Genomic DNA, 13,586 nt, shown 5'->3' with positions numbered 1-13,586 from the left:
CCTGATTGGATAGGGTGACATACCCCGCCCCCTAAGGCCTGAGTGACGTAGGAAGCCATGGAAACGTGGCTGTGCGTAGCAGTGTTGACTGGTTCTAGCCACTGCGCCTCTCAGGCCGAGTTTCCTCCCTGCACCCAGCCCGAGGGATATTTGAGGGTTTGTTTTGGTTTTTTTTTTTTTTTTTTTTTGAGACGGAGTTTCGCTTTTGTCGCCCAGGCTGGAGTGCAGTGGCGCGATCTCAGCTCACTGCAATCTCTGCCTCCCGGGTTCAAGCGATTCTCGTGCCTCAGCCTCCCGAGTAGCTGAATTACAGGCACCCGCCACCACGCCTGGCTAATTTTTGTATTTTTCGTAGAGACGGGGTTTCGCCATGTTACCGAGGCTGGTCTCTAACTCCTGACCTCAAGTGATACGCCCACCTCAGCCTCCCAAAGTGCTGGGATTACAGGCGTGAGCCACCACGCGTGGCCTTGTTTTGGTTTCCTTCCTTCCTTCCTTCCTTCCTTCCTTCCTTCCTTCCTTCCTTCCATCCTCCCTCCCTCCCTCCTTTCTTTTTTTTCTTTCAGGGTCTTGCTCTGTCACCCAGGCTGGACTGCAGTGGCATGATCTCGGCTCACTCCAGCCCCAATCTCCCGGGCTCAAACGATCCTCCTGCCTCAGCCTCCCTAGTAGCTGGGACCAAAGTCACGCCCCACCACACTCTGCTAATTTTATTTTGTTGTTGGTGCTGTGTGTGTGACGGGGGTGGGGTGGGTTAGATGGGGTCTCACTATGTTGACCAGGCTGGTCGTGAATTCCTGGGCTCAAGTGATCCTCCTGCCTAGGCCTCCCCAGGTGCTGGGATTACAAATGTGAGCCACCGTGCCCGGCCAATATTTGCATTTAATGCAGAGCTTGCTTCTAGCTTGCCAGAGTAGGCACTGTCTTCTTCTGGCACTCCATGAGCTCTTCCTTCTAATTCCTTCCGGACACAAGGTCACCAGTATGTGCAGGGAACTCCACACTCACTGTGACATGGAGCAATCGCCTTGCCTCAGAACGGGAGGGAGCCCAGGCTAGGCCAGGGAGGACAGGAAGAGGAGGAAGGGCCTGATGTTCCGGGAAACGGGCATTTGGGATGAGGCGTGCCAAGGCTTCCTCCCATACCCTCCGGTCCCTGAAAAAACATCTATACGTGGAAAAAAAAGTAGAAATAACTGAGGTGAGAGGAAGGATGCTCTCTGATGAAGTGATGTGGGATGAGACCCAAAGTAATGTATTAGTATTAAAAGGCAGGTTGGGCTGGGTGCGATGGAGCACGCCTGTAATCTAGCACTTTGGGAGGCCGAGGCAGGCGGATCACCTGAGGTCGGGAGTTCGGAACATGGAGAAACCCCATCTCTACTAAAAATACAAAATTAGGCCAGGCGCCGTGGCTCATGCCTGTAATCCCAGCACTTTGGGAGGCCGAGGCGGGCAGATCACGAGGTCTGGAGATCGAGACCATCCTGGCTAACACGGTGAAACCCCATCTCTACTAAAAATACAAAAAATTAGCCGGGCGTGGCAGTGGGCGCCTGTAGTCCCAGCTACTCGGGAGGCTGAGGCAGGAGAATGGCGTGAACCTGGGAGGCGGAACTTGTAGTGAGCCGAGATGGCGCCACTGCGCTCCAGACTGGGAGAGAGAGCGAGATTCCGTCTCAAAAATAAATAAATAAATAAAATAAAATAAATAAATAAATAAAAATACAAAATTAGCCGGGCCTGGTGGCACATGCCTGTAATCCCAGCTACTCGGGAGGCTGAGGCAGGAGAATCGCTTGAATCGGGGAGGTGGAGGTTGCGGTGAGCCAAGATCACACCATTGCACTTTAGCCTGGTCAACAAGAGAGAAACTGTCTCAAAAAAAAAGGCAGGTTAAGCTGGGCACAGTGGCTCATGCCTGTAATCCCAGCACTTTGGGAGGCTGAGGCAGGAGGATAACGAGGTCAGGAGTTTGAGACCAGCCTGGCCAATATAGTGAAACCCCGTCTCTACTAAAAATACAAAAAATTATTGAACCTGGGAGGTGGAGGTTGCAGTGAGCTGAGATCGTGCCACTGCACATCAGCCTGGGCGACAGAGCAAGACTTTGCCTGAAAAAAAAAAAAAAGGCAGGTTGGAGGATTCAGGGAAGATGGCAGAATAAAAATCATAAAGAATCTATGGCCAGGCATGGTGGCTCATGCCTGTAATCCCAGCAGTTTAGGAGGTCAAGGCAGGAGGATCAGTTGAGCCCGGGAGTTTGAAACCAGCCTGGGCAACATAGTGAGACCAACCCCTAACCCCATTTAAAAAATATGAAAATTAGCCAGGGGCTGAGCACAGTGGCTCATGCCTCCAATCCTAGCACTTTGGGAGGCCAAGACGGGAGGATTGCTTGAGCCTAGCAGTTTGAAACCAGTCTGGGCCACATAGTAAACCCTCCCACCCCATCTCTACAAAAAAATACAAAAATTGGCCGGGTGCAGTGACTCATGCCTGTAATCCCAGCACTTTGGGAGGCCGAGGCAGGCGGATCAGGAGGTCAGGAGATTGAGACCATCCTGGCTAACACGGTGAAGCCCCGTCTCTACTAAAACTACAAAAAATTAGCCAGGCGTGGTGGGGGATATAAAGAGCTGATGCCTTTTATTTTTTTCCCTTTGTCAACCTAAAATAATCGAAAGGCTCAAGATCCAGTTAAAATAGTTTATTCAAGGCCAGGCACAGTGGCTCATATCTATAATCCCAGCATTTTGGGAGGTCAAGGCTGGAGGACGGCTTGAGCACAGGAGTTTGAGACCCGCCTGGACCATATAGTGAGACCCTGTCTCTCAAAAAAATATATTGTTTTTAATAAGCTGGGCATGATAGGGTGCACCTGTAGTCCCAGCTACTCGGGGGGCTAGGACGGGAGGATCACTTGATCTCAGGAAATCGAGGTTGCAGTAAGCTATGATGGCACCACTGCACTCCAGCCTAGATGACAGAGACCTTGTCTCAAAAAAAAAAAAAAAAAAGAGTTTATTCAAACACAGAGTACAAGGGTGGCCATCAGGGACATGCTGACACCGAAGAATAGTGATCAATGATCCCAGTGTGGGGAAAAGTGAAAATTGTCTATATAGGCAAAAACAGAGGTGCTGAACAGAAATACATTTCCATACAGATGTTAATATACAGACATAAGATTTGAGGCTGGGTGCCGTGGATCACACCTGTAATCCCAACACTTTGGAAGACCTAGGTAGGTGGATCACCTGACGTCAGGGGTTCAAGACCAACCTGGCCAACATAGTGAAAATCTGTCTCTATTAAAAATACAAAAAGTAGCTGGGCATAGTGACACATGCCTGTAATCCCAGCTACTCAGGAGGCTGAGGCACGAGAATGGCTTGAATCCAGGAAGTAGATGTTGCAGTGAGCCAAGATCATGCCACTGCACTCCAGCCTGGGTGACAGAGCAAGACTCTGTCTCAAAATAAAAAAAAAAATTAAAATAAAAAAAAAAACAGATGTGATTGACTACTGTTGATTACACTCTATGGGGGTTGCTTAACATTCTATTGTAAAGCGGTAACAGTCGCAAGGGTATACATATCCTACATCATTTAGTATAGGTTTGAATGAAGAACAAGGAGTCTGATGGCTACAGTCTCAAAACAAAGGTAAGGAAGCATCAGTCATGCATCAGAGAAGCTGTATTATAAGACTCAGTTTCTAGGACTTAAGTGCTTAATTTTCCCCTTCGCATAATGAATTTGGAAGGTATTGATTTTTTTCTTTTTTTTTTTTTTTTTTAAGACAAGGTCTTGCTCTGTCACCCAGGATAGCGTGCAGTGGTGCTATTATAGCTCACTGCAGCATCGATCTCCTGGGATCAAGCAATCCCCCCACCTCAGCCTCCCGAGTAACTGGGACCACAGGCAAGTGCCACCATACGCGGATAATATTTTTTTAGGTTTAGTAGAGACAATGTCTCGCTATGTTGCCCAGGCTGGTCTAGGACTCCTGAACTCAAGCGATTTTCGCACCTCAGCCCCTCAAAGTGCTGGGATTATAGGCAAGAGCTACCTCGCTCAGCCGAAATTTTATTTTCTTTTTGCACTTTTGTTATTTTATTTTTCTCTTGGGACCCAGACATTGACAATTAGGTCATTCAAAGGCAGCCACAGAGGAAATTACAGTTACCACAGAGGCCCAGAAAAAAAGAATTAAGAAAAGACCGGCCAGGCACGGTGCCTCATGCTTATAATCCCAGCACTTTGGGAGGCCGAGGTGTGTGGATCATTTGAGGTCAGGAGTTCAAGACCAGCCTGGCCAATATGGTGAAACCCCATCTCTACTAAAAATACTAAAATTAGCCGCATGTGGTGGAGCATGCCTGTAATCCCAGCTACTCAGGAGGCTGAGGCAGGAGAATTGCTTGATCCTGGGAGACGGAGGTTGCAGTGAGCTGAGATCGCACCACTGCACTCCAGCCTGGGTGACAGAGCGAGACTCTGTCTCAAAAAGAAAAAAAGAAAGCCGGGGATGGTGGCTCATGCCTGTAATCCCAGCACTTTGGGAGGCCGAGGCAGGCAGGTCACCTGAGGTTGGGAGTTCCGGACCAGCCTGACCAACATGGAGAAACCCTGTCTCTACTAAAAATACAAAATTAGCTGTGCATGGTGGTACATGCCTGTAATCCCAGCTACTTGGGAGGCTGAGGCAGGAGAATCGCTCGAACTCGGGAGGTGGAGGTTGCAGTGAGCTGAGATCACGCCACTGCACTCCAGCCTGGGCAACAAGAGCGAGATGCTTTCTCAAGAAAAGTAATAAAAATAATTATATTTCTATGATATTGGGCACTCAATATATAAAGATGTGATTTGTGACATTAACAACATAAAAGAGCCGGGGGCGGTGGCTCACGCCAGTAATCCTAGCACTTTGGGAGTCCAGGCAAGAGGATCGCTTGAGCTCAGGAGTTCAAGACCAGCCTGGGCAACATAGTGAGACCTTATCTCTATGGAAAAATTAACAAATTAGCCAGTCATGGTGGTGGGCACCTATGGTCCTAACTACTTGGGAGGCTGAGGTGGAAGGATTGTTTGAGCCCGGAAGGTCCAGGCTACAGTAAGCCGTGATCACGCCACTGCACTCCAGATTAGGTCACAGAGTGAGATCCTACCTCAAATAAATAAGTAAATAAAAATTTTAAAAAATAACATAAAAGAAGAGGAAACTATAAAAATAGAGTATCTGGGCCAGGCGTGGTGGCTCACGCCTGTAATTCCAGCACTTTGGGAGGCCGAGGTAGGCGGATTGCCTGAGGTCGGGAGTTTGAGACCAGCCTGACCAACATGGAGAAACCCTGTCTCTACTAAAAATACAAAATTAGCCAGGCGTAATGGCGCACACCTGTAATCCCAGCTACTCAGGAGGCTGAGGCAGGAGAATCGCTTGAACCCAGGAGGCAGAGGTTGCGGTGAGCCGAGATCACACCACTGCACTCCAGCCTGAGCAACAAGAGCGAAACTCCGTCTCAAAAAAAAAAAAAAAAAAAAAGAAAAGAAAAAAGGAAATAGAGTATGTTTATACCATAACCAGGCATAATGGCACATGCATGTAGTCTCAGCTACTTGGGAGGCTGAAACAGGAGGATTACTTGAGCCCAGGAGTTCAAATCTAAGCTTGGGCAACATAGCAAGACTAGTTCTCAATTAATAGAATAGAATATTTCTATGCTATTGAAGTTAAATAGGTATCATTTAAACCTTTGCTGGGAACAGTGGCCCATGTCTGTAATCCCAGCACTTTGGGAGGCTGAGGCGAGAGGATCACTCGAGCTCAGCAGTTCAAGAGCTCAGGCAACATAGTAAGACCTTGTCTGTACAAAAATTTTTTTTAAAAATTAGCCAGGGATGGTGGCCCTTACCTATAGTCCCACATACTCGGGAGGCTGAGGTGAGAGGATTGCTTGAGCCCAGGAGGTTGATGCTGCAGTGAGCCATGATCACACCACTGCACTCCAGCCTGGGTGACAGATAAGGCTCTGTCTCAAAATAAAATAAAATAAAGTTATATTATTATAACTTAGAATGTCAAATGTAATCCCCATAGTAACCATAAAGAAAATATCTATAGAAAATACACGAAAGGAAATAAGAGAATCAAAAAGTCTCATTACAAAAAGTCAAGTAAACAGAAAAGAAGGCAGTAATGGAAGAAATAAAGAACAAAAAAGCTCCAAGACACACAGAACACAAATGGTAAAATGGCTGAAGTTGGGCCTTCCACCTCAGGAATTCCTTTAAATTGAAATGGGTTAAACTTTCCAATCAAAAAACAGAGATAGGCAGAATAGATGTTTAAAATATGATCCAAGCCAGACACAGTGGTGCCTCCCTGTAGTCCCAGTTTAGGGGATTGAAGTGACAAGATTGCTTGAGGCTATTGAGGCGGGGCACATTGGCTCATGCCTGTAATCCCAGCACTTTGGGAGGCTGATACCTGAGGTCAGGAGTTTGAGACCAGCGTGGCCAACATGGTGAAACCCCATCTCTACAAAAGATACAAAAATTAGCCCGGTGTGGTGGCGGGCACCTGTAATCCCAGCTACTCGGGAGGCTGAGGCAGGAGAATCGCTTGAACCCAGGAGGCGGAGGTTGCAGTGAGCGAAGACTATGCCATTACATTCCAGACTGGGCAACAAGAGGGAAATTGTCTCAAAAAAATAAAAATAAAAATAAATAAAATAAAAAATAAAAACAACCTTGAGACAAATATGAAAATCCAACATATCAAAATGTATGGAATGCAGAGAAAGCAGTGCTAGAAGGAAAAATTTATAGCTGTAAATACATTCATTGAAAAAGAAGAAGCCTGGGCAACATGGCCAAACCCTGTCTCTACAAAAAATACAAAAATTAGCTAGGTATGGTGGTGCACGCCTATAGTCCCAGCTACTGGGGAGGCTGAGGTAGGAGGATCGCTTGAGCTTGAGAGGTCGAGGTCACAGTGAGCAGATGGTGCCACTGCAGTCTAGCCTGGGCAACAGAGTGAGACCCTATCTCAAAAAAAAAAAAAAAAAAAAAAAAAGAACTCAATAAAACATATGTATTCATGGCCTGGCATGGTGGCTTACAACTGTAATCCCAGCACTTTGGGAGGCCGAGGCAGGAGGATCACCTGAGGTCAGGAGTTTGAGACCAGCCTGGCCAACATGGCAAAATCCCATCTCTACTAAAAATACAAAAGAAACAAAACAAAACAACAACAACAACAACAAAACATATGTATTCCTTCCTGCGGATCATGAATACTGAAATAATTGGGGGTACCGGCTGGGCGTGGTGGCTCACGTCTGTAATCCCAGCACTTTGGGAGGCCGAAGCAGGCAGATGACCTGAAGTCAAGAGTTTGAGACCAGCCTGGCAAACATGGGGAAACCCCGTCTCTACTAAAAATACAAAAAGTAGCTGGGCGTGGTGCCGGGGGCCTGTAATCCCAGCTACTTGGGAGACTGAGACAGGGGAATCGCTTGAACCCGGGAGGCAGAGGCTACAGTGAGCCGAAATTGCGTTACTGCACTTCAGCCTGGACTCCATCTCAAAAAAATAATAAATAATTGAGGATGGTGAACAAAACCTTGGGTGGAGAGAAATGGGTGCCTAGTAATAACGGGATTAGAGGAACGAGTGTCCATTGGTGTTGTTGACTGTGAGGTGGGTCGTTGTGGAGTTCACAGCTGAGGGAGATCTGTGTGGGGCTCCTTCCTGCCCTGGCTATGGCTTACTCCAGCCGGTCCCCGCATCCTCCCGTGCCCGCTGACAGCCTTGCTGCAGGAGGGGCACCAGAACTTCTCAGCCTGCTACTCCCAAGCAGTTCAGCGGTACCCAGGATAGAAGGACCAGGAGCTGGAGTGGATAAGTCAGGTAACCATGGAATCAGTGGGCACCGGCTGGGATGAAAAGGAGGACAGGGGTTAGGTGGGGCTTGGGTGGGGTTTTCCTCCTTGCCATCCAACTGGCTCAGCAATGGCTGAGGCAAGGAAGTCACCATTTGCTTTCACTTGATGGTGGAGACGATGGATGTTTTTACTCTGGGGGCTAGAGCTGGTGGATATCTGAGAGGATGTGGGGAGGGGTTGGGGGAGCATGATGGGGTCTAGAGAGTAACGGGAATGTTTGATCACGAGGATCAAACATTCAAACATTCAAATGATCAAACGTTCAAATCATTGAGGAAAGAGGTGGGAGTTAGGTAATATAAAGACCAACTCCTGGCCGGGCGCGGTGGCTCACGCCTGTAATCCCAGCACTTTGGGAGGCCGAGGCGGGCGGATCAAGAGGTCAGGAGATCGAGAGCAACCTGGCTAACACGGTGAAATCCCGTCTCTACTAAAAATACAAAAAATTAGCCGGGCGTGGTGGCGGGCACCTGTAGTCCCAGCTACTTGGGAGGCTGAGGCAGGAGAATGGCGTGAACCCGGGAGGCGGAGCTTGCAGTGAGCCGAGATAGCGCCACTGCACTCCAGCCTGGGTGACAGACTGAGACTCCATCTCAAAAAAAAAAAAAAAAAAGAAAGAAACCAACTCCTTGGCATGACAGACCCCACCTCACCTCTCCCGATTTGGGATTTTGTTTGTTTGTTTGTTTTGGTGGAATCTCGCTCTGTCGCCCAGGCTGGAGTGCAGTGGCACGATCTTGGCTCACTGCAACCTCCACCCCCTGGGTTCAAGCATTCTCCTGCCTCAGTCTCCCGAGTAGCTGGGCTTACAGGCGCCCGCCACCACACCTGGCTAATTTTTTATATTTTGGTATAGACGAGGTTTCACCATGTTAGGCAGGCTAGTCTCGAACTCCTGGCCTCAAGTGATCCACCCGCCTCGGCCTCCCGAAGTGCTGGGATTACAGGTGTGAGCCACTGAGCCCAGCCCCATTTGAGATTATTGACCCACCTGGAACCTAGCCAGACTGAACTGGTGGCAGCAAACTACAACAGTGAACAGCTACATTTACATCATGCCACCCTCCAAACCACCAGCCTGACCCTCCACAGCTCATCCTGCCCTCCCATTCTCCAGACTGAAAATCAGTCCCTTAGCCTGTGCGAGCCCCACCAAATCCATAATTCCACCTCCCGTGCACTGAGGCAGGCATGGGGGTAGCCAGTCACCAGGACACCTTCACACCCATGCAGCTGAACTGTGCTGACTGATAGCGCCAAGGAGCTCATGGCGAGTGAGGCAGAGCCCCATCCAAGCCAGGGTCCTCTTTCCAGGCTTTTACCCAGTGCCTACTCAGAACTGCCTATAGATCCCCTCCTCTGAGAATCTCACCAGAGCAGACACGGTTTGCAATTTCCTGGGAATCCGGCTGCTCATCATGTTATCCTACAAACATTCCAGTCCCAGCATACCTCACTCATCCCACCCCTGGAATTTTCTCTGGGGCAGTCTCTGGCTGGATCCACTGTAGAATCTGTCCACGCCCTGCACAGGCCTAGTGGCAAGTGGGGGGCTGGAAGGAGCATTAATTTCTTCTCCAAAAGGGAAACTGGGTCTGCGTTCGGTGCTGCAGTTCAGGCTGTGGCCATGCAGGGGCAGCAGTGGACAGATAAAAACGTCTGAAAAAGGCGCTCAGGCTGCGGGAACAGTAGACCATCCCCAGGGACTTCACTGCCCAAGGCATCTGCCTAATTTCTCTCTCCTCTCCTCTGCCTAATTTCTCTCTCCTCTCCTCTCCTCTCCTCTCCTCTCCTCTCCTCTCCTCTCCTCTCCTCTCCTCTCCTCCCCTCCCCTCCCCTCCCCTCCCCTCCCCTCCCCTCCCCTCTTTTCTCTCTCTCTCTCTCTCTCCTTTCTCTCTCTCTCTCTGTCTAATCTGTCTATCTTCTATCCATCCGTCTATCATCTATCTATATTGGAGACAAAGTCTCACCATATTGCCCAGGTTGGTCTCAAACTCCTAGGCTCAAGCAATCTTCCCACCTGAGCCTCCCTAAATGCTGGGATTACAGGCAAGAGTAATTTTCATTTTTTGTTTTTTTTTTGTTTTTTTTTGTTTTTGGTCTAAGTACAGAGGACCTTACTGCTTTATTGATAGGCCCTGTTCTTCAGGGGGTCTGGCATGGAAACTGTGTATGGGGAGATTTTCAGTGTGGTGGGGGGCTGAGTGCAGCAGGGACTCCCAAGCAGCTGAGGGCCTCTCTCTTCCTCTCATACTGTCACTGGGGCTCCTGGTCTGAGGGTCTTACTCCTTGGAGACAGTGTGGACCACCACCTTTTTGCTGAAGCCAAATACATTGTCATGCCAGGAAATGAACTTGACAAAGTGTCATCAAGGGCAATGCTAGCCCCAGCACAGAAGGTGGAAGGATGGGTGTCGCTGTTAAAAGTCAGAGGAGACGGCCAGGCACGGTGGCTCAGGCCTGTAATCCCAGCACTTTCGGAGGCTGAGGCGGGTGGATCACTTGAGTTCAGGATTTTGAGACCAGCCTGGCCAACATGGTGAAACCCCATCCCTACTAAAAATACAAAAAATTAGCTGGGTGTGGCGGTGTGCGCCTGTAATCCCAGCTACTCGGGAGACTGAGGCAGGAGAATTGATTGCTTGAACCCAGGAGGTGGAGGTTGCAGTGAGCCAAGATCGCGCCACTGCACTCCAGCCTGGGAGACAGAACGAGACTCCCTATCAAAAAAATAAATAAATATAATTTAAAAACAAAGGCGGAGGATATAACCTTGTTCTCAATGTAGCCCGGGATGCCCTTGAGGGGGCCCCCCCAATGCCTGTTTCACCACCTTCTTGAGGTCATCATATTTGGCAGGTTTCTCCAGATGGCAGGTCGGGTCAACCACCAACACATTGGTGGCAGGGACTCGGAAGGCTGTGCCAGTGAGCTTCCTGTTCAGTGCAGGAATTTGCCCACAGCCTTGGCCGTGCCAGTAGATGCAGGGATGATGTTTGTCACGCCAGTTTCCCAGAGGGGCTGTGGTCATGAGCCCCTCCATGTTGCCAAAGATGTCATGGATGACCAGGGTCAGTGGCTCAGCCTGTAATCTCAGCATTTTGGGAAGCCAAAGTGGGAGGATCACTTGAGCCCAGGAGTTTAAGACCAGCCTGGGCAACAAAGTGAGACCCCCGTCTCTATTTATTTATTTATGAAATAGGGTCTTACTCCGTCACCCGGCTCACTGCAGCCTCAACCTCCCAAGCTCAAGCAACCCTCCCACCTCAGCCTCTCAAATAGCTGGGACTACAGATACACCCCACCATGCCTGGATAATTTTTTTAAACTTTTTGTAGAGACAGAGTCTTGCTATGTTGGCCAGGCTGGTCTTGAACTCCTAGGCTCAAGTGATCCTCCAACCGCAGCTTCCCAAAGTGTTGGGATTACAGGCATGAGTCACTGCACCTGGCCTCCATCCCTATTTAAAACAAAAAAAGAAAAAAGAAAGAAAGAAAACCAAACCAAACCAAAAAAAAACGTTGTCACGGATGACCTTGGCCGGAGGGTAAGCAGTTGGTGGTGCAGGAGGCATTGCTGACGATCATGAGGTTTTTGTATCTCTCATGGTTCATGTCCATCACAAACATGGGGGCATGGGCAGAGGGGGCAGAGATGGTGATCCCTTTGGCTGCCCATCCTAAGCGAGCCCCAGCCTTCCCCATGGTCGTGAAGATGCTGCTGGTGGACTCCATGACATAACCAGTGCCAGCATCGTCACCCAATTTGATTTTGCTGGGATCTGGCTTCTAGAAGATGGGGATGAGATTCCCATTTCCTATTGATGACAAGCTTCCCTTCTCTTTCTCAGTCTTTTCTTTTCTTTTTTTTTTTTTTTAAGAGAGAGAGGATCTCCCTATGTTGCCTAGGCTGGTCCTGAACTCCTGGTCTCAAGTGATCCTCCCACCTCAACCTCCTAAGTAGCTGAGATTACAAGCATGAGCCACCACACCCAGCCCACTTCTCAGCTTTGATGGTGCCGCGGAACTTGCCGTGGGTAGAATCATATTGGAACATGTAGACCATGTAGTTGAGGTCAATGAAGGGGTCATTGAGGTGACAACATCCATTCTGCCAGAGTTAAAAGCAGCTCTGGTGCCCTGGTGACCAGGCACCCAATATGGCCAAATCCATTTACTCCTGTCTTCACTTTCACCACGGTGTCTCGGGGACATGCCTTTTTCACTGCATGAAAAGATGTGGCTGTCTGTCAAATGGGAGGAGCAGAGAGGCTCTGCCTTTTTAATCTTTAAGAAAAAAAATTCAGGCTGGGCATGGTGGCTCACGCCTGTAATCCCAGCACCTTGGGAGGCCAAGGCAGGCGGATCACAAGGTCAGGAGATCCAGACCATCCTTACTAACATGGTGAAACCCCGTCTCTACTAAAAAATACAAAAAATTAGCTGGGCGTGGTGGCGGGCACCTGTAGTCCCAGCTACTTGGGAGGCTGAGGCAGGAGAATGGCGTGAACCCGGGAGGCGGAGCTTGCAGTGAGCCAAGATCGCGCCACTGCACTCCAGCCTGGGTGATGGAGCAAGACTCTGTCTCAAATAATAATAATAATAATAATTTAGATGGGGTCTCACTGTGTCACCCAGGCTTGTCTCAAACTCCTGGGCTCCAGTGATCCACCCACCTCAACCTCCCAAAGTGCTGGGATTACAGGTGTGAGCCACCACACCCGGCCTATTATTATTATTTGAGACAGTCTTGCTCTTGTCGCCCAGGCTGGAGTGCAGTGGCACGATCTTGGCTCACTGCAACCTCTGCTTCCCGGGTTCAAGCGATTCTCCTGCCTCAGCCTCCCGAGTAGCTGGGATTACAGGTGGCTGCCACCACGCCCAGCTAATTTTTTTTGTATTTTTAGTAGAGATGGGGTTTCACCTTGTTGGTCAGGCTGGTCTCAAACACCTGACCTCAGGTGATCCGCCCACCTCAGCCTCCCAAAGTGCTGGGATTACAGGCGTGAGCCACTGCTCCTGGCCCTGTCTTTTAATTTTTAAAGGGTAGGGGGCACCATGACCCATCTTTGCCCACCTAAACCACCTATTCAGCAGCCCATGCCCCGCAGCCCACAGCTGGGGGACATCATGCAAAATCTAAGTCAGATCTGTCCCTCTGATCAGAACCCTCTGTGGCTCCCACCTTACCCAGATAAAAGCCCCCTTCCCTGCAGCCCCCAAGAGCACACGCAACCTGCCCCACCCACACCCTTCTCTGTTCCTTGCCCTTGACCTTGCAGACTCAACCTTCCGGATTCACTTCCCCCTTGCTCACTCTGCTCCAGCCACAAAAGCCAATTTTTGGTTCCTCAAATCAAACTAACTCATGACAGCATTTTGAATTTTGAAGCCTTGGGGCCCCGAAAAAGTCCATCTTTTTTTTTTTTTTTTAAGATCGAGTCTCACTGTGTTGCCCAGGCTGGAGTGCGGTGGTGTGATCTCGACTCACTGCAACCTCTGCCTCCCTGGTTCAAGCAATTCTCCGGCCTCAGCCTCCCAAGTAGCTGGGATTACAGGTGCTCGCTGCCATGCCCAGCTAATTTTTTTGTATTTTAGTAGAGAAAGGGTTTCACCTTGTTGCCTAGGCTGAT

At 49.3% G+C, this 13,586-nt stretch overlaps 1 pseudogene, besides 3 other annotated features; it reads right to left on the bottom strand.

Moving 5' to 3' along the window:
• Positions 1 to 130: a silencer, noted in NCBI's record as "silent region_10122". NCBI's record gives its function as "represses an Ori minimal core promoter by ATAC-STARR-seq in GM12878 lymphoblastoid cells {active_cell/tissue: GM12878}" and the evidence as "EXISTENCE:reporter gene assay evidence [ECO:0000049][PMID:35858748]".
• GAPDHP76 (glyceraldehyde-3-phosphate dehydrogenase pseudogene 76) lies at positions 10,087 to 12,124 on the bottom strand (annotated as a pseudogene).
• Positions 13,304 to 13,363: an enhancer, noted in NCBI's record as "active region_14029". NCBI's record gives its function as "activates an Ori minimal core promoter by ATAC-STARR-seq in GM12878 lymphoblastoid cells {active_cell/tissue: GM12878}" and the evidence as "EXISTENCE:reporter gene assay evidence [ECO:0000049][PMID:35858748]".
• Positions 13,374 to 13,513: an enhancer, noted in NCBI's record as "active region_14028". NCBI's record gives its function as "activates an Ori minimal core promoter by ATAC-STARR-seq in GM12878 lymphoblastoid cells {active_cell/tissue: GM12878}" and the evidence as "EXISTENCE:reporter gene assay evidence [ECO:0000049][PMID:35858748]".

The sequence above is a fragment of the Homo sapiens genome, chromosome 19 (genome assembly GCF_000001405.40).
Source record: "Homo sapiens chromosome 19, GRCh38.p14 Primary Assembly".
In the NCBI taxonomy this organism is placed as follows: Eukaryota; Metazoa; Chordata; class Mammalia; order Primates; family Hominidae; genus Homo; species Homo sapiens.
This window is presented reverse-complemented; position numbering and strand designations above follow the sequence as displayed.